This window comes from Homo sapiens, chromosome 2 (genome assembly GCF_000001405.40).
Source record: "Homo sapiens chromosome 2, GRCh38.p14 Primary Assembly".
NCBI classification, from domain to species: domain Eukaryota; kingdom Metazoa; phylum Chordata; class Mammalia; order Primates; family Hominidae; genus Homo; species Homo sapiens.
This window is the reverse complement of record NC_000002.12, coordinates 172928415-172948533: the sequence shown is the minus strand read 5'-3', so window position 1 is coordinate 172948533 and position 20119 is coordinate 172928415. Positions and strand designations below refer to the sequence as shown.

Sequence of the window (20119 nt, the reverse complement as noted above, 5' to 3'; positions counted from 1 at the left end):
TGTCTTGGATCCTGAAAACATACTTCTCCACCATCTTGACTTCCTCTTATTTTTCCCTAGATAGACACAAAACCAGTTTTGAGGCTTCGTTGTTTTGATAAGTATTTCTGACTGTTTTTGGGACACTTCTAAGAATTACCTAGAAGTTATGGTATGCACATACATATATCTAAAATTGTGCTTATAATTTCAGAGGTAAATGGACTTCTGGAAGTCCATATATAGAACATAAACCTGAACAAGCACATTCCTAACACCTCAGAAATCTACTGCCACATAAAAGCCCAACAAAAATATTGTACATACATTCACTAAAAGACATATACTAAAATGTTCAGAGCAGTGCTATTCACCATAGCCCACCACCAACAGAATGAACAATACATCATGTAGTCCCATAATGGAATGAGAGAAAACAATTCACACCTGCATGCAACAATGTGGATAAATCTCACAAACCGAATGCTGAATGAGAGAAGCTGGATACAAAAGGTATACACCAGATGATTTCACTGATATAAAGCATAAAAACAGATTACTATACCCTTGGAAGGCAGGATAGTGGGGAGTGGCTAGAAGGAAACATGAGGTAGGCTTCTGGGGTGGTGGTGACATTCTGTTTCTTGATCTAAATGCTGTTTATATGACTGCATTTGTGAAAATGTACTGACCTAAATGATGTGTGCACTTTTTTTTACATGTATATTCTATGTATATATATTCTTTAATGAAAACTCAGAAGAAAAAGCTTGATTTAGAACTTCTTATCAAAAAAAATTTAAGAAAGTACTTACCAACCCTCTCTTATACAGATGAGTCATACAAAAAAGTAAAGGAAACCTTGGAATTTTGAAGTTTATAAAAACATTTGAGTAGCACTTACTCATATGTAATCCTGATCTACAGCCCAACATGCAGCAATTTTCCTTTAGGAATGACTCGAAGGAAAAAAGAGAATGCATATATGCTTGTATGCATGAAAGACACCCAGAAAAAAAATGTTACCACCACCGACCTCCACAGAGGGGAGTCTTCAGCAGGAGGTTACCTGGCTAGACAGTGAGCCTAGCAGAGCATGCAGCATTTTTAGTAATATTCATTCCTTCAGCGATTCTGGAAATGTCTAAGAATACTGATTGCAAATGTCAACTATCTACTACTACGTAAAACACCACCAACACCCTCAAAAGTATGTAAACACAGGAAAAATCAAAACAAAAAAAGTATTGAAGTCCATATGTTATTAAATGTTTTACAGCTATTTTATTTAAATACTAGCTGTACCTGCCAAAGCATATATTTTCCTAGCAGATCATGGAATAAAATATTAATGTATCCTATTTATTCACATATTTCATTGCAAATATAACATGATCACATTCTTCCTAGATTTAACCCTTAGGAAGCCCAATGATTTGAGTCTTAACAACACACAGTTGTCAATAGACAACCAGAGGCTTCTGGAGGTACAAGCTGAATGTCAAGTCTCAGAAATTTTCACAAATACGTTTAGGCAATGTATTAAATTCAGAATAAGTGAAGCACATTTAATGATACATGTTGCAGAATCTCTACAGTTGACTTTTTAAGTTAAGGTAATGAACAGTCAGAAAAATGCATACAGTTTTATAGGTAGTCGTTACCCACTTGTCACCTGTCAGTGTCAGCACTGATAAATCAGCAGGTGGGGCTTCTCAAGGTCAGAGGGATGCCCATGCCTCCTCTGTTGGCTGGCCCAAAATGATGAAAGGCACATCCGGTGGAACCGTTTTACATATACACAAGTATTTTATAGAGTCAGAAGGTTTGTGTTGGGGGAAGAAGGGAAGAGCAACAGTTGTCCAGGGTGGTTCAAGGAATCTTCCCAGAGGAGGTGGGATTTGAACAGGGTCTTTAGGATGAACAGGGCTTGATAGTGAGAGAGCAGATGGAATTGCAGGCTGGAGCCAAAGTCACACAGACGGGAGTTTAAGGCATTGTGAGTCCCCTAGTCTGGCTGTAGCCTACAGCTGGAGTTGGGAGGAGGTGAGAGAAAGTGTAGGAAGACAGTATATGTGATGATAAAAATTCACCATTGTTAAGAATAGATACAGAGAATCAGATTATCAATTGTAGTAAAGGCATATACTCAGGTATAGGTTTCTACCTTTTCCTATTTTTCCATTACATATAATGCATGCTTATTGGAAAGTATAAAAAAGTTTAATCTTCCAAAACCAACCAGTCAAAGATAATTGTGTTAATATTTTGGAATATTAATATTCAGCCCCTGTTTCTAAGTGTGGGTTTTGTTTTATTTTTAACTGAAGTGTAATCATACTTTATATAAAATTTTGTATCTTTCCTTTTTACATAATGCTAAATCATAAGCAATTTTACATGTTGCTATAAACTCTTTGTAACCATCAAAATTCCTTTAAATGTATACAGCATAATTTAACATTTTTTTTGTCAATGTGCCTTTAAGTTTTTAATGATTTGCTAGTAGTATTAATATGCTATAAACTTAGGCCAAAAGTTCCCCTTACCCACTCATATTTGGAATTATCTTCTCAGAATCAATTCCCTGAAGTAGAAAACCCAGGCCAGGGATTATGGTTCCAAATGCACATTGTCAAATTGTGAAGCTTGCATTGAAGGTAACTTTGGATGAGATATTTCTTCTGAATAAACTCTTAGAAAAGTGGTCTATCTTTGGCCACTTGAACATAGCCAGTGTCTTTATTAAGACTAATACATATTAATGTGGAAGAAATAGATCAATTAAGACAAAAATGTCCAACAGAAAAACACAAATAGATTCTCTTAATATTTAAATGCATGCTATGTAAACTGCCTTAGGCCATTATTTTAATAGCATAGTAACTCCCAGTTGGGAAAGGTAAAATAATTACCATGAAAAAAAGGTCTTTGTCCTACACTTTGAATTAAAAATAATGCACTCGATTGACTTTTGTATAGTCCTCTGCATGTGAGCGTATTTATCTGTATTGATTGAAAATTGTAAAAGACTTTTTTCTACCTCAAACAATCTAGTAGGCAAAAGCTACAATAAACATAATTTTAGTACAAATACAGGACAAGAATATACAAACAAATAATTCTGATAACCTTTAAGGACTCAGAAACCTGAGGGCAGTAGTATATTTGATCTAGGTTTGGCAAAATTCCTGGAATAGCAAAAACCTATTGATGTTTTCAAGAAACCTTTTAAGCCTTTGCAAGGCTCATCAAAACAAACATGATCAAAGTCCTAAAAGCATACCATATAAAATATGGAAGCAAATCAGAAAAGTAGCATACTACATAAAATATCAAGTTCATTTCAGATCAGGTTCATAAACCAGGTTCCCTAAACATAGTTTTGTTTTCTTTTATCATCAAGTTGCCCTAGTACAGATGATGGTTTCAATTAGATATGCCAACAGTATTCTAAAAGGCCAAAGAAATAAGTAGCATGATATATTAAGTTCTAAAATTTGATTTCACTCATATTTTCCTCCCTTCCCCTTTCTGTATTTTTCTAATTTCCAAGAATGTGTATAAGAAGAAAAAAAAACCCACAATAATGAGCTGATGGAGGCTCACGCATACTTTAGAAACCTGGCATTTCTACCTGGAGGTCACAGTTTTTTTATTCAAAGTAACTTGAAAGGTTTAGACATACTTGCAACATCTGCAAGTACAATGAGAAGGAATCAAATGTTCTTGTGTTCTTTTATTGACTAGGAACTTAAACTGTGGACATAATTTTTTTTGGAAGTACGACGAGGATTGTAGCTCACCCTCAGGACAGATTTTCACAGTATCTCTTCGAGAAAGGGGAAATGTTCAGCTGAAGATGACACAGCTACAACAGCCCCTTGATTAAAGCTTTCAGTCAGACTGGGGTTAATCACTCTAAGATCAGCCTGTTTTGAGAGAAATCTCCAAGTATCTCAATCCCATCTGCTTCCCTTATGTGAGGCTCCAGATTCTGGAAGTGTTGGGTTTTGCAGCCATGAAACAGAAACAGCCGAAGTGTGGGAAGGTAGTCAGTCATGACTCGCTGTGCTAGGACACAGGCTCACCCTGGGCACTTGCCCAAGATAATAAGAGGACTCCACTGCTTACCTGTTTTCTTGCCTCTATCTCTACCTAACATGGAAACACTACAAATCTCTGCTTTCTGCCCCTTAGGACTTTCAAAATGGTGGGCTGCATTTTAAAGCAAATCTCTTCCAAACAAAGACAGAACTTTCAATACATGACTGTCTTATCGCATAAACCTAAAGGGATTATTGAGACCTGTCAGTTTCCTTCTTTTTTTCTACAGTGAGGCTCCTCCCAGGATGCAGACTGGCAGCCTGCATTTACCAAGGGTGCATTTACCAAGAACAGAAGGAAGGACGGAGCAGAAGGCAGCCTAAGATGTTCCCGTGTGTTTGGCTAGAAGTGAGGAAAACCTGTTCCATGTGATTTAATATCTATGTATTAAGTGTTTTTATTTTAAAATTTCATAAGTAAAATGCCTTAGGTGACTGACTGTTTGCAAATCCCATAAATAATTGATCTATTATTATCTGGTAATGTCATTGCTTCTTCTTACTCAAGTAGCCATTTGGAGAACTATTTCTCCCTAATTATCATTAGGAGGTTAACCTCAGTGATCTTACCATATTTTTAAAGAAGAAGCATGTGGGAACCTTTATGAAGATATAGAACAGAGAAAACTCTGAGAGGATGTGGTTCATGCAACAACTGTTCTCAGGTTATGAAAGCAAACGCATATGCAAGCAAAAACAGCGGGTGAAAGGCAAGACAGCGAAAGGGTTTTCTTGTCTGATTTTGGGTTGTGGGGTAGGAGTAAAGCCATTCCATTCTTATCTCATTTGTTTAGGGTGCTTCAGCACAGGAATCCAGAGGCAGGGATGCCCAAGATTTGAAGTATGTTCTGAAGACAAAGGAAGGTTTGTGGATTTCTCCTATAAGAGACTATTCCAGGCTCAGGCAAGGGTAAGAACAAACATTTATCAAATGCTGTGTGCCAAGTGAGTCACATCAGTTATCTTATTGAATACTAACAACAACCCTTTGATGAGCTCCCATTACTCCCATTTCACAGATGAGGAAACTGGCAGCTCTGGGATAGGAACTCTCTGGTTAACCACTTGCACTACTGTCTGCTGCCCTCTGAGGAAAGAGTCCTTGCTTACCTTCCCCTTAAAGTAAAGGCAATTCTCTAAAAAGAGCCATTCTGATCATGTCATTTTTCTAGTTATACACAGTGCCTCCCCATTCTTCTAGGAACAAATCCAAACTCCTTACCACTGCTTCAAAGTCTCTTCAGAACATCACCTCTGCCTGCCTCTCCAGCCTCAGTGGCTCCCTTCTTCCTTTTTAGCTTCTCAAATATGCCAAACGCTTTTGTTTTGGAGGTTTTGCCCCATCTGTTCCCTCTGCCTAAAACGTGTGTTCCCCTCCCTTTTCCTGACTTCCCCAACCTTCAAGCCACACCAAAATGTACCTTCCTCAGACAGTTCTTCCCAAGCCCTCTAATACACACTTCTGAAGCTGCAATGTCCAGTGCAGTGGCCGCCAGCCAGATGTGACCACTGAGCCCTTGAAACACAGTGAGTCTGAAGTGAGATGTAAGCATGCAAACACATGCCCAAGTATGAAGATGGAGAACAAGAAGCAGCATGCAAAATATGTCAGTAACATGTTTTATTAATATATTGGTTATATGTTGAAATGAGAACATTTTGGATGTGTTAGGTTAAATAAAAATACGTTATTAAAATTAATTTCACCTCTGTTTACTCTTTAAAAATGTAGCAACTAGAAAATTTTAAATTACACATGTATCTTGCATCCTATTTTTGCTGGACCATGCTGTGACAGAGCATTCTGCACTTCCCTTTGGTAACACACATTACAGTTATAATTACTTGGTTACTGAATTTTTTTTTTTTTTTTTTTTTTTACCAGACTCTAAGATCTAAGCAGGAGTACCATGTTTGTCTGATTCCCCTGGTACTCCAGTGTTGAGGCACCTGGCATATAGCGTGGCTAAATGGAGTTGTTGAAACAATAAAGGCTCATTAAAGGTGGACATCCGTTAGGAAAAGGGGAGCAGCAAAATGCTGTCTCCTTTAGCAAAATATGAACATGGTCCTTTAATCTTAGAGAGGAAGAAAGCAGATGGTGGTTCTGAATTTGAGCTAAGACAATTTAAAAATATATTACCAGAAGTTTTTGAGATCTATTGCAGAACATGGTGACTCCAGTTAATATTAGGTAATTGTGGTGCAAAAGTAATTGCAGTTTTTGTTATTACTTTTAAAGGCAAAAACTGCAATTACTTTTGCACCAACCTATTGTATATTTCAAGATTGCTAAGAGAGTAAATTTCAAATGTCTCATCAAAAAAGGATATGTTAATTAGCTTGATTTAATCATTCCACATTGTATACATACATCAAAATATCACATCATACTCCGTAAATATCTGTAATTATTATTTGTCAGTTAAACTCTCTGAAAACTGCAAAGCACCATTAAAAGAATATATGACCAGAGATGTAAATGAGGGGAATCAATTTTATCTTGTTTATAATAAAAAAATACTTGTTGAGAGCATACTATGTTTCAGGTACTGTGCTGTGTGAACTTTATATGCGTGTTCTTATTTAATCCTCAGGACAAAGTGAGGAAGTAGATTCTATTATTATCAACCCATTTTTCAGATGATGAATCTGAGTCTTAGTTTAAGTAACTTGCTCAAGCCCACATAGCTAAGAAGTGGCAGGGCCAGCATTGAGCTCAAGCAGTCAGCTTGCAGTCTCCTTGCTGGTTTACTCCTACGATGTACTGCCGTAATACAGTTTCCTCAGAAAGTGTAAAGAGAAATCTCTGCCCATAAACACAGGTTCTACCCTAACTCCCCTAATCACTGATTTTTCAAAAGCCTTAATAATGATAAGAAAAAAAGCATTTTATCAAGTGCTTACTTTTTGTCAGACGTGGCAATAAGAACTTTCCATGGATTATGCTATTTATTTTTCACAATAACTTCGTGAAGTGAATATTTTTCATCTTTATCGTGAAAATAATAAAACTAAAGAATAGTCAAATTAGAAACAATCAAAATATACATTATACAAATGGTTAAAATAAATGACGCTGCACCAGAATTAAGGACTATTTTGCCACCATTACAAATAATGCTTCATGGAAGACTTAAGAAATAAGGTAAAAATTATTACATTAAAAACCTAATAGCAAGGGTATTCTTTCTCACCATTCCTATTGACTATCATACCGGAAGTCCTACCTTGTGCAACGAGACAAGAGAAATAAAGAAAAAGCACACAGATTGGGAGGAAGAAATCAATCTGTCTTTACTTGCAGATGACATGATTGTCTACGTAGAAAATTCCAAAGAACTCCTGGAACTAATATGTAAGTATAAGGTCATAGGATACAAGGTCATGTACAAAATACCAATTGTTTTTCCACATATCAGCAATGAACAACTGGAATTTGAAATAATAAAATACCTCTTAGAACATCATCCTTCCAAAATAAAGTACTTTGTATTAATCTAACAAAACATGTACAGGGCATATATAGAGACAACTACAAAATACTGATGAAGAAAATCAGTGAACATCTAAATAGAGACATATTCCATGTTCATAAATTATCAGACTCAATACTGTTAAGACGTCAGTTCTTCTCAGCTTGATCTATAGATCCAATGAATCCCAATCGAAATCCCAGGAATCTATTCTGTAGATATATAGACAAACTGATTCTGCAATTACTGGAAAGGTAGAGGACCTAGACAGAATAGTGTATTAGGCTGTTCTTGCATTGCTATAAAGAAATACCTGATACTGGGTAATTTACAAGAAAAGAGGTTGAATTGGCTCATGGTTCTGAAGGCTGTACAGGAAACATAACGGCATCTACTTATGGGGAGGCCTCAGGGAGCTTTTACTCATGGTGGAAGGTGAAGTGGGAGCAGGCACTTCACATGGAAAAAGCAGGAACAAGGGACAGAGAGTTGTGGGGAGGTGCCACACTTTTAAATGACCTGATCTCATGAGAACTCACTATCACCAAGACAGCACCAACCCATGAAGAATCTGCCCCCATGATCCAATCACCTCCTACCAGACCTCACCTCCAGCATTGGGATTACAATTCAACATGAGATTTGGGCAAGGACAAACATCCAAACTATATCAAATAGTCAACACAACACAGAAGAAAAAAGTGGAGAACTCATGCTACCTAATTTCAATAATAATATATATTCTCATAGTAGGAATTCTTGATATGATGTGATGAAAACAGTAGAACTCGGTGGTCTTCTCCCCAAAACCCATAATCCTAGTCTAATCTTGAGAAAAACATTAGACAAATTCTAAGTGAGGGACATTCTACAAAATGCCTGACCAGTATCTCTTAAAACTGTCATAGTTACCAAAAACTAGGAAAGTCTGAGAATTATAATAAAGCTAGCAATTAAGACAGTGAAATATTGGTGAATGAACAGACATGTAGATGAATGGAACAGAATGTGAAGTCCAAAAATAGACCCACATAAACATAGTCAACTGATCTTTTACAAAGGAACAAAGACAATTCAATGGAGAGAAGACAGTCTTTTCAAGAAATGGAGCTGGAAAAACTGGATGGCCCATATGCTAAAAAAAATGAATCTACACACAGACCTTATGCCTTATACACACATCTGTACCTCAGAAATGATTATAAACCTAAATGTAAAACACAAAACTATAAAATTTCTAGAAGAAAATACAGGGGAAAATCTAAATGACATTTAGTTTGGTGATAAGTTAGATACAACAACAAAAGCATAATCCATGAAAGAAAAAAAATGAATGTTGGACTAGACTGAAATTAAAAACTTCTTCTCTACTAAGGACACTGTTAAGATGAAAAGCAAAACCACAGACTGGACTGCAAAACTCATATCTGATAAAGGACTTGTATCTAAAATATGCAAAGAATTCTCCAAACAATAAGAAAAGAACCAAATTTTTTAAATGGGCAAAAGACACCTCAACAAAGAAGACAGATGGCAAACAGCATATGAAAAGATACTCAATATCATCTGTCATTAGGGAAATGGAAATTAAAAACAAGAATGAGATACCACTACATATCTATTAGAATGGCTTTAAAAAACTGACAATACCAAGCTGGCAAGGATGCAGAACAAAGGAACTCTCATTCACTGCTAGTGGGAAAACAAAATGGTACAACCACTTTGGAAGACAGTTTGGCAGTTTCTTACAAAGCTAAATATAGTGTTACCACACAATCTAGCAATTGTGCTCCTAAGAATTACCCAACTGATTCGAAAACTTATGTTCACACAAAATCTGCCCACAAATATTCATAACAGTTTTACTCATAATTGCCAAAAAATGAAAGCAGCCAAGATGTCCTTCAAGAGAAGAATAAATAAATAAACCGTAGTACATTTATATAATGGAACACTATCCAGTGATAAAGGAAATAAACTATCAAGCAATGCAAGGACATTGAATCTTAAGTGCATATTGCTAAGTGAAAGGCTACATGCCGCATGATGTCATTTATATGACAGGTTGGAAAAGGCAAAACTTTATCGAGAGTAAACAAATTGTGGTTTCTATGGCTTCAGACACGGAAGAAGATTAAATAGGTAAAGCACAGGGAATTGCTTAGGGCAGTAAAACTATTCTGTATGATACTGTACTGTAATGGTGCATACATGGCACTAGACATCTGTCAAAACTCATATAACTTTACAGCACAAGGAGTAAAACTTAATATATGCAAATTCTAAAAATCATTTAGAAGGTTAGGGTATCCCAGGATGGAATGCATACTGTGACAAAATAATTTGACTGTATAATAAATGTATGAAATAACTTCAACGAAGGGAGTGGCAGAGCAGAGGCAGGTGAGGAAGGTGCTGACTTAAGAAATGAGTGGAGCGTGAGAGACTGAAGGCAAGGACACTGCACACAGTGCTCTATTCTACTTGATAACATTTGTTTCCCATGGGGGCCCAGGCAAACAGTTTAAACCACTGTAAATGTATATGCGAATTAGACAGTTAAATAAATAGGTGGCAGATGGTACAAGCCAAATTTCTCACTGTTGGGAGTGGGAGGTTACAAAGAGGCAAGGAGAAAGGACTAGAACGATCCATGTGGTAATGGATTAGAGTTGGAGAAATCAGTATGAAGTCATGCTTAGCCAAACATAGATACAGATGGTTGTCTGTGTGTGTGTGTGTGTGTGTGTGTGTGTGTACTTACAGATATGTGTATATGCACAGGTTAGGATGCACACATGTATTTCCTTGCTATCTCAGATGACAGGGCTTAAGATATCCTAGTAGCAACAGCACGCCTAGCGCCAAGATCTTGCTAACACCATTCTTTCATCAAAGGAACCAAGAATCCTTGGCAAAATGGCTGACTCTGGGACTAGAGCCGAGAATATATATGCAACTAGTTGTGCCACAGGTAAGGCAGTGCTCCATAAAACAAAATAAAACAAAGCATAGTGATGGGAGTGTGTCAAAGGAATACAGGAGCCAAGGGAAAGAGCTCCCAGTGGCCAAAGCTGGAACAATTTGAGCAATAAAATTAATATGGTAGTATTGGATTATAACCCAAAGTATAAAATAAATATCCATGAGTGCATAGTGATATAAAAAAAATGACAGAATAAACCAATCAACATGGGAAAGGAGACAAATCCCCCTCACAGAGGAATTCCAAACAATGTAGCTATTCTGCTATCAAGAAGCTGGAGCCTAGCTCCTTGCTCCTTAAGTGTGGGCTGTGTGCACGATGACTTCCTTCCAAAGAGTTCAGTATGGAAAGCGGGGCAGGAGTTGTGGGAGACTGACTTTACAGTGGAGAAACTTGCAGACACTACCTCAGCCAGATGATCAAGGTCAACATCAACAGTGATAAGTCATACTAATAGTATATATTCTTGATATGATGTGATGAAAATACGGTCTTCCCCAAACCCCTAGCCCCAGTCTAATATTGAGAAAAACATTAGACAAATCCCAATAGAGGGACATTCTACCAAATACCCGACCTATATCCCTTAAAACTGTCAGTCATCCAAAACAAGGAAAGTCTGAGAAATGGATAGCCAAAAGGAGCCTAAGGAGACATGGCGACTGAATGTGAGGTGGTGTCCTGGATAGAATTTTCGAATAGAAAAATGATGTTAGGTAAAAATGAGGGAAATCTAAATAAACTACAGACTTTTTTTTTTCTTTAAGAGACAGGGTCTTGCTCTGCTGCCCAGGCTGGAGTACAGTGGCATAATCATAACTCACAGCAGCCTCAAATTCCTGGGCTCGAGTGATCCTCCTACCTTAGTCTCCCAAGTAGGTAGGACTGCAAGCAGGTACCACCATGCCTGACTAATTAAAAAAGACTTTTTTTTTTTTTTTTTTTTTTTGCAGAGAGAGGAGTCTCACTGTGTTGCCCAGTCTGGTCTTGAACTCTTGGTCTCAAGTGATCCTCCTACCTTGGCCTCCCAAAGTGCTGGGATTACAAGTGTGAGCTACCACATCCAGCCTTAAACTATGGACTTTAGTTGGTGATAATGAATCAATATTTGTTCATTAAGAAAATACTCTTATATATAAAGACAAATTAAAGATTCTCTCAGATGAGAAAAAATTTAGAATTCGTAGCCATCACAACTGCTTTAAAAGAATTTCTTTAAAAAGTTCTTCAGGCAGAAGAGAAATGATACCAGAGGAAAACTAGGAACATCAGGAACGAAGGAAGAGCAACAGCAATATAACAAAAAATAATTCCAGTAATGGGACAGGGATGGTATGAAAAGTAACTTTGACAAGGTACAAATAGCTATTTAAAAAAAATTATTGCAAAAAAAAAACAATAAAAATGTATTGCAGAGGAAATTCATTCTACATTACGGTTGAGACAATATTAACTAATTTTAAAAATCCTTAAAAAAATTTAATTGAAAAAGGAAGAATATGAAACTATATATACAGTGTAAACTAAATTTTGTTTCTATTTGTATACATTTTCCTATATGTTAACTATATAAACACACAGAGCTCTGGGAGGTAGCATTTACAGAAGTTTTTTTGGGCAGGGGATAGAGTCTCACTTATTGTCCAGGCTGGAGTACAGTGGCTCAATCTCAGCTCACTACAACCTCTGCCTCCCGGGTTCAAGTGATTCTTCTGCCTCAGCCTTCAGAGTAGCTGGGACTACAGGCACACACGCCATGCCCGGCTAATTTTTTGTACTTTAGTAGAGACAGATTTCACTGTGTTGCCCAGGCTGGTCTTGAACTCCTGAGCTCAGGCAACCCACCCACCTCGGCCTCCCAAAGTGCTAGGATTACAGGCATGAGGAAGATTTTTAAAAACACTTATTTTTCCAAATATTCAACATAAGTATTATATTTATGATCAGAAAGAGATAACCATTATTTTTTAAAATCCACCATCTTGCTAGACTTCATTTTAGACTCTTGGCAGAAACACCTCCTTTTAGGCACAAAGTATAAATATCAATGACTTATCTGAATGTAAATTTGGCTCACAGACTTTAAAGACTTAAAAATGTAGATTAAAAAGGAAGAATTCCTGTAATATTCTAGGAAAAATGAGATTGCTTATGTCATGTACTGTTGGAGCATCCACATCTAAGTAGCTCAAAAGACTTAAGATCAAACCTTGTTAATCTCCACATCATATATGTTAAGAAGACGGTGCAAAAGAAAATTTGATTCTGACTGAATGGAATGCATGGACTTTCTAAAGCACAATGCTCACTGCAATCACAGCTACTGCAAAATGTGATGTCAACATTATTTTCATAAGTGCATCTGTCCAACTTCTTCATAAACAAGGCATGAAGACTAGCCTGAAATGAGATATTGATTGTATTATGATGTTATTTGAGTACATCAATCGAAGGGGGCAGTTTTTTTTTGGCAGTCAGCGGAATGCACATCACTGGCGAGAAGCAATGAACAGCTCTCATTTCCCATCATTCCTCCTCCTTCTGGGCACAGACCTCCCCATCAACAGAGCTGTGTATCCCACCTACACTGGCTCAGAGTGGGGATAGGGGAGCCATGTGACCCACCATAGGCCAGCCAGAGTCCTTCCCCTATGCTCCCTCATTGTGGCTGCTGGGGAGGAACCAGGAGTTGTTGGTTGCCATGTTTCTAGGCTGGGGAAGAAGCAATAAGAGGTAGAGCCCTCGGCTCCCATCAGCCCAAGGCCGGCTCCACTGTGAGCCCCCAATTTCCTCTCTTGTTTGGTTTTTTTGAGACAGGGTCTGGCTCTGTCACCCAGGCTGGAGTGTTATGGTACCATCTTGGCTCACTGCAGCCTCTGCCCTTCAGGCTCAAGCCATCCTACCACCACAGTCCCCTAAGTAGCTGGGACTACAGGTGCGTGCCACCATACCTGGTTAATTTTTGTATTTTTTGTAGTGACAGGGCCTCACCACGTTGCCCAGGATGGTCTTGAACTCCTAGGCTCAAGTGATCCTCCCACCTTGGCCTCCCAAAGTGCTGGGATTGCAGGTGAGAGCTACCACCCCCGGCCTCTTGTTTGCTTTCGAGGTGGCTTGATCCAGGTTTCTGCCACCTGTAACTTAGAAGTCTGGAGTTATATAGTAACCTAATAATTCTGTAGCCTTGTGAAGAGGGAGAATGTTGGGGTAGGGGGTGAATACTGAAACTTTTTTTTTTTTTTTACTGCAACCATAACAGATGAAATGAAACACTGTTGTCTCAGAAATCCTTCCGGTTCAGGTGACAAGGCTCTTAGAGTGTGTATTTTGGTATTTTGGTACTTAACTCCAATCTCTCTCAGTACCACATTCTGAAATAATTATCTGTTTACCTAACTCTCTCCCCCATTAGGTGGTTTGCTCTTTGAAATCAATAATTCATTGCATTGGACTTTTTGGACTTTGTATCTCCAGAGCCTACATGGCACACAGTAGAAACTTAATAAATGTTAGTTAATATAAAAAGGATTAAATAGGGCTGGGCGTGGTGGCTCACACCTGTAATCCCAGCACTTTGGGAGGCTGAGGCAGGTGGATCGCCTGAGGTCAGGAGTTCGAGACCAGCCTGACCAACATGGTGAAACCCAGTCTCTACTAAAAAATACAAAAATTAGCCGGGCATGGTGGTAGGTGCCTGTAATCCCAGCTACTTGGGAGGCTGAGGCAGGGGAATTGCTTGAACCTGGGAGGTGGAGGTTGCAGTGAGCCGAGATTGCGCCATCGCACTCCAGCCTGGGTGACAGAGCAAGACACTGACGCAAAAAAAAAAAAAAAAAAAAGGATTAAATAAAATATAGTTATTTTTTCTACTATTACAAAATTACCTCACTCCTTCAAACTTTATTAATTAGAAATTTGTGACTAGGCTAGAAAAATTAATTTACTCGAGGAAAAAGGGGATTATTAACCCATTTAGTAGTGTAAGAAACTGTAAAAAGAATGATTAAACTAATTAAGAGAATAAATTGTTTCAAGCAGGCCATAGCCATTTAAAGTCACCTATTGATATAGAAATAATTTGTGAACTAAGTTACAAATAACATCCCTCTACCTATTCATTAAATTAGGTCCCTGAGGATGTCTATTAAATAATGCTTTGTTAGCCTGGTTCACTTAGCTGTTTTTACTTGAAATATTACATAAATCAACCTTTTATTAATTTAAAAGGTGAAACCTGAAAGCATATACAGAGTTAACTTATAAACATAAATGATCTTAAATATATAACATATAATAGGGGCCAAAACAAACCTGATAAAATTCTTGCTGATTTATGTCTCACTATTTCATTTCTTTCAGACACATTTTAATTTCATTCATGCCCCGGGCATGTCCTACTCAGTGCAAATCCCTATCATCTATCTCATTATCACTCTCTAGTCTAATGTTTATCATTATTAGCTATTGACTGCACCCAGGTACGGTGCAAAATCTAATTACACTTCATTCTTGGATACTGCCCAGTACAGTGACCTTGAAACCAGGTCTCCAAACTCACTCTACTCTCATCCTTCCCTCCCTCGGTTGATGGCAGTTGCATCCTTCCACGTGTTCAAGCCAAAACCCTTGAAGTCACCCTTGAGTACCTTCTCTCTTACCTCGTATTTAATCCATCAGAAAATCCTATGGACTCTATTTCCAAAATCCATCTAGAATGCAACACTTTCCACCCCTCCACTGCAACTCCACCATCATCTCTAGCTTTCCATGAAGTACACATGAGTTTCCTAGGATTCAAAGAATTTAGTAACACTGTTACTTAAAACTACTTCCATCCCCAGCTTCCTGTTTTTGTGAATGAGTTTTCCCAGTGCTTGCATACATAAAAACCAAGAAGAAGAATGAAACTGCTATTTCCTAAAGGTGCATGAATTGACTTTTTAAAATAATTCATTTTTTAAAACACTTGCCAAAGTCACCCAGTGATGCATTTCTAATAGTAATTTACTTTAATGTTTAATATTTTTGTACAGAAATTTATAAAATATTTATTTTGTTTTGATGATCATATATATCTACTTATTGTCATAACCCAATCTAGAAGAAAAGTTGTAACAAAGACCCATGGTCACAAGAGATTTTAAAACACGAATATTTAAATGTAAGTACATATTTTTGATACATGTTCAGTATGAGGGTGATCCATAAGAGACTTTCAACCACAAACATACGTTACAACGTGAAGCTGCCATACTAACCCTGGGCAGCTCATATTTGGACAGTTAACATGAGTAAAAAAAAATCTATTTAAGATGCTGTTGTGTTTGAGTCTTTGTTATTATAGCTGAATCTGGATGACAAAGTCGTCTGGCCTGGAAAACAATATGTTACAGTAGAATAAATTTCTACAGAGGAAATAAAATGGGAATATGACTTAAACAACAAAAGGAAATAATATAACATTGTAACTATTAAAAAGCTTGTTCATATATTTTTTTAAGTGGTGAGCAACAAATTATTTTTCACAATGCCTGGTCTAATACACTGTATGCATTCCATAAAAACTCGCTGATTAACAGCCCCATTCCTTGAGAAAATTTGTTTAACTTACAGGACTGGAACTCAATTGTTCTGTATGGACTTGCAGACCAGACCATGCTGCATTTAGCAAAGTCAAATATCAACAATATGTGAGAATGGAAGACTATATATGTGCACATATGAATGGATGAATGAGTGAATGAGCTGGTTATTTTGGTGGTTTCCAAGTACTAGGAATCTTACAAACGAAAATAACATTTACTACGAATATTTCCACTTTTCATCCAAATATCTTGTGCCATGTAACTAAAACTTGAAGGTTAGACATGCATGAACACCGGAATGACCACCAGAGGGAGCCCACGTGTTTTTCTGAATATGCCAAACACCAAATTGAGAAAAAGGAAGAAAACACACACAAAATATAAAGCTGGGGGTGGGCGCATGGGGGTGGGGGTGGGGGGCGCATGGGAGTCAAGGGGTGTGAGGAGTGGCGGGAAGGGGAAAGGGAAGCATTACCTGTTTCAGTTATTTAAGAGACTATATTATTGAATGACAGAACCATTTACGCATCTATGTTACAAATCCTTTTACTAGGCAGCTGTACACTGCAATGCTTTGACACTTATAAAAGGAGAATTGGTTAAACGTAAGATTTAAAAAATCTCACATAACCTAAAACTAGCAGGTCCTGGGTGGGCTGCTGTGATAACATCCATGACTCTCCGATGTGCCCCAAACAAGCCAGCTGCCTTCTCCAGCTTATCTTTGTGTTCCTGCTCTCACTGTCTATTCCGGTTCATCTTTGTGGTTAACTTTGGAGGAAGGTTTGGGTGTGGCTTCCTCACTTTGTTTGGGATTGGGCTATCAAATTACAGCACCAGAGGAGCACTTGGTGTGACTTGGGAATTTCTGATTCTCCTGTCTGAGCCAAGTTTATAAGGACGGTAAGATGAATGACTTTCCATTTGTTGTCCTGAAGTCTTCCCAGAACTGAGAATTGAACCAAGTGCCAACAGGAAGCAAGAGCACCTCTCTAAGGCTTTCCAGGCCCAATCTCCACTTACACCAGAACCCACAGGCCTGCCTCAGAGAGCTCCCCGCAAGCTAGAAAAATATCCTGGGACTGAGGCTATAGAAACAGGATGTGATCTTATCTAGAATTACGCTCCATGTAAACTGAATAGAATGTTTTCTATTTGAGATCGTTGTCGAGTTTTGGAATCCCCTCCCACCTGTTCAGTCCCCCCGCCCCCCAGCGCCCCCCCCCCCCACCCCGGCCTGGCTTGATCTTACTAATCCTTTTATTGTGGTAAGTCAGATCACCATTATACCAGTGAGGAAACTGAAGCTCCTGGAAATGAGTGACTTGTTCAGTGTCACTGGCTATTAAGTGTCAGGGATGGGAACTGGCAAACATGCGCTTCTAGGGACATGGATTGTAACAATGAATGAGTATTGAACCCCGTCATACTAATGTCTTTGGAGACAGAAAGAAAATTATTGTCTTCCTTTTCCCTCAAACTACAATTGAGTGAAAAGCATGACAGAAGTGAATTCAATGACTTAGCCCTTGTTTTACCCAGAATTTTCATGGTATGTTTTCCCAAGTTTCTTTTATGTCTGGATGGGGTGATCATAAATCATGTATGCAAATAAATTAGCACAAACAAATTGAATCCCACAGGCTTAGGTACTGGGCTGAATGCTGCTAAATTTAACATGCTTATTAATGCCTTGAATATGGAATCAAATCAAAAACATTCTTATCAAATTTAACAATGATACCCAATTGAGTGGGGGTGGCTGGCAGTTAGGAGAGCTAGTTTGAAATTTAAAATGACCTTGACAAACAGAAAAGGAAAAAGAGGGCAAAATTCAATAGAAAGCTTTGCAAAGTAATTCATTCAAAAGAGGGGGGCAAACAAAGAGAACAACAGAAATGAGGGAGTATTGATTGGGTAATTATAACGGAAAAGGAGCTGGAGGTCAGAGTGAACAATAGCCTCCAAACTCAAGCTAGTTCTGTATTTTAAAAAAGAAGGCATGATTTTGAGAAGTAAAATAGGGGGAAACTCAAGCTAATTCCCCCTCCAGACTCAAAATAGATCAAGCTCTTTGAGGAGGGGTGAGGAAGGTGTCTTGTTGGGACACTGGAATGCCTATGGCTTGGAAGCCAGGTTTTTATAACTTTGAAAGGGATCCTTAGAAAGAAGAGTGCCCAAAATAATTCAGAAGAGAAAATTCGGGTACTCTTTTCCTGTGTTCATGCAATGCTATCAGCCTGGCATATTGTTTTCCTTCCCCCTGGGTAGCACCCACCCAGACATTGCCTCCTCTGTGGGGCTACTTTGAACCCTTTCCCTTCTTCTTAACAAGAACTTCACAGCCCCACTATGTGTCTCCACAAAGCAGATACTAGAGGCCAGCACTGGCTAAGTCCTTGGCATACATTATCTCATTAATACTCTTGAACACCTCCCTGGGCAAGATGCTACTATTATTCTCCTTCTGTAGATGAGGAAACAAATGAGTAAGGCAGTTAAGTAACTTGTTCATGTTCCCATGTTAGAAATTGGCAGAGCTGGGAGTTTAACTGAAACCCTAAGAGCTCCTAAATCCCTGTCCTGAGGCCACACTACCCTGATGACATGAGCACCCACAATACTTCACTGTTCTTATTTGTTCACGTGTGCTTCTGTCTAGGCTGCAGTGCCATATTTTCATAGTCCTATATGACGGCCTGAGATTGATCAATAAATGTTCATTAAATTGAAGATTTTCAAGCAAGCAGTGGTATATTCCAGGGGTGTTTCTGAGTCATTCTTTGGCTGAAGGGAAATAGAAAAGAAAACTAAATTAAACTAAAAAGGATTTAGACATTTATAAAAACTGGCAATAGGAATTCTGAACAATTCTGGACCATATTAGTAAAGGTGATTTGACCATTTTCTTTTCTGAAAATTTTAAAGAATTGAAATTGCTATATACATATTTATACATGTACAAATACATATGTATGTGTCTATATATATTATGTGTATATGTATATATATGTGCATTTATCTGTCATCTGTCTTCAATGTAATGTCATCTAAAGGTAAAGAGGGTGACTACGGAATATTTAATATCTGTGGACTTAGGGAACCTGCCTGACACAGAATTGTTGGTAGAAGAGAATCTAAACCCTAAATGACATGTCAACACTAGATTAGTTTATCCAATCTGAGAACACTATAATTTTTTCTGCTAACCATAAGACATATTTTGCAAATAATTTGTTCTCAGTTTCTCAAAACAATAAAAATTCAAACACATCAAACATAAGGGATACTATCTATTTTATTCTCACAGTTAATTGAGATAACATGCTAGCAGCCCAAAGTAACTGGTGATGACGATAATTGCCTTCAGTACAGGAGAAAATATCTCTGAAGACAGCAATATACTCTCCCACAGCTTGGAAGCAGCAGCTGTGTACATTACTAATAACATGACATCACACTCCTCCCTCCCTGCTGACAGTGGAACAATTCTGAGCTGCATCTCAAGGCTGTGAAATGTTTTAAGTGAGAGCAAGAAGAAGCTGTTGGCCAAAGAGAAACTCATTTCTTTTATTATTATTATTAAACTATCGAACATTACACAGGTTATCTGGGATAGCTTGCCAAATCAAATTCTGATGACTGAAGATGGAGGGAGCATATTCAAAGCAGGGCCGTGCAGTATATCTCAGCTGCAACCCTAGAAAATCGTCAGCATGGCGGCAGCATTAAAAAGTTCTATTTCATAAGAGAGATTTTAAAAATTGCAAAGAAACCAAACATAGAATATTAAAACAATCACCAAATGTAATTCACAGTATTACAAAAATAATTCTAAAATATAGCAATGAATCATCACCCCAATACATCTCCTTTCACCAACAAACTCACGGCAAGCAGGTCCTAGGAACAATGTCCAGGACATTCAAAAGCAACCAACACACGGCATAACTGACAACAGAAGGATCAGAGTTCTAGAGTATTACC

The 20119-nt window shown here is 37.9% G+C and overlaps 1 protein-coding gene across 30 annotated transcripts in view; it reads right to left on the bottom strand.

Annotated features, from left to right (window-relative positions):
* RAPGEF4 (Rap guanine nucleotide exchange factor 4) overlaps nt 1-20119 on the bottom strand; it is a 317576-nt gene that overhangs the window by 104360 nt on the left and 193097 nt on the right. The gene's annotated exons all lie outside the window — the stretch shown is intronic.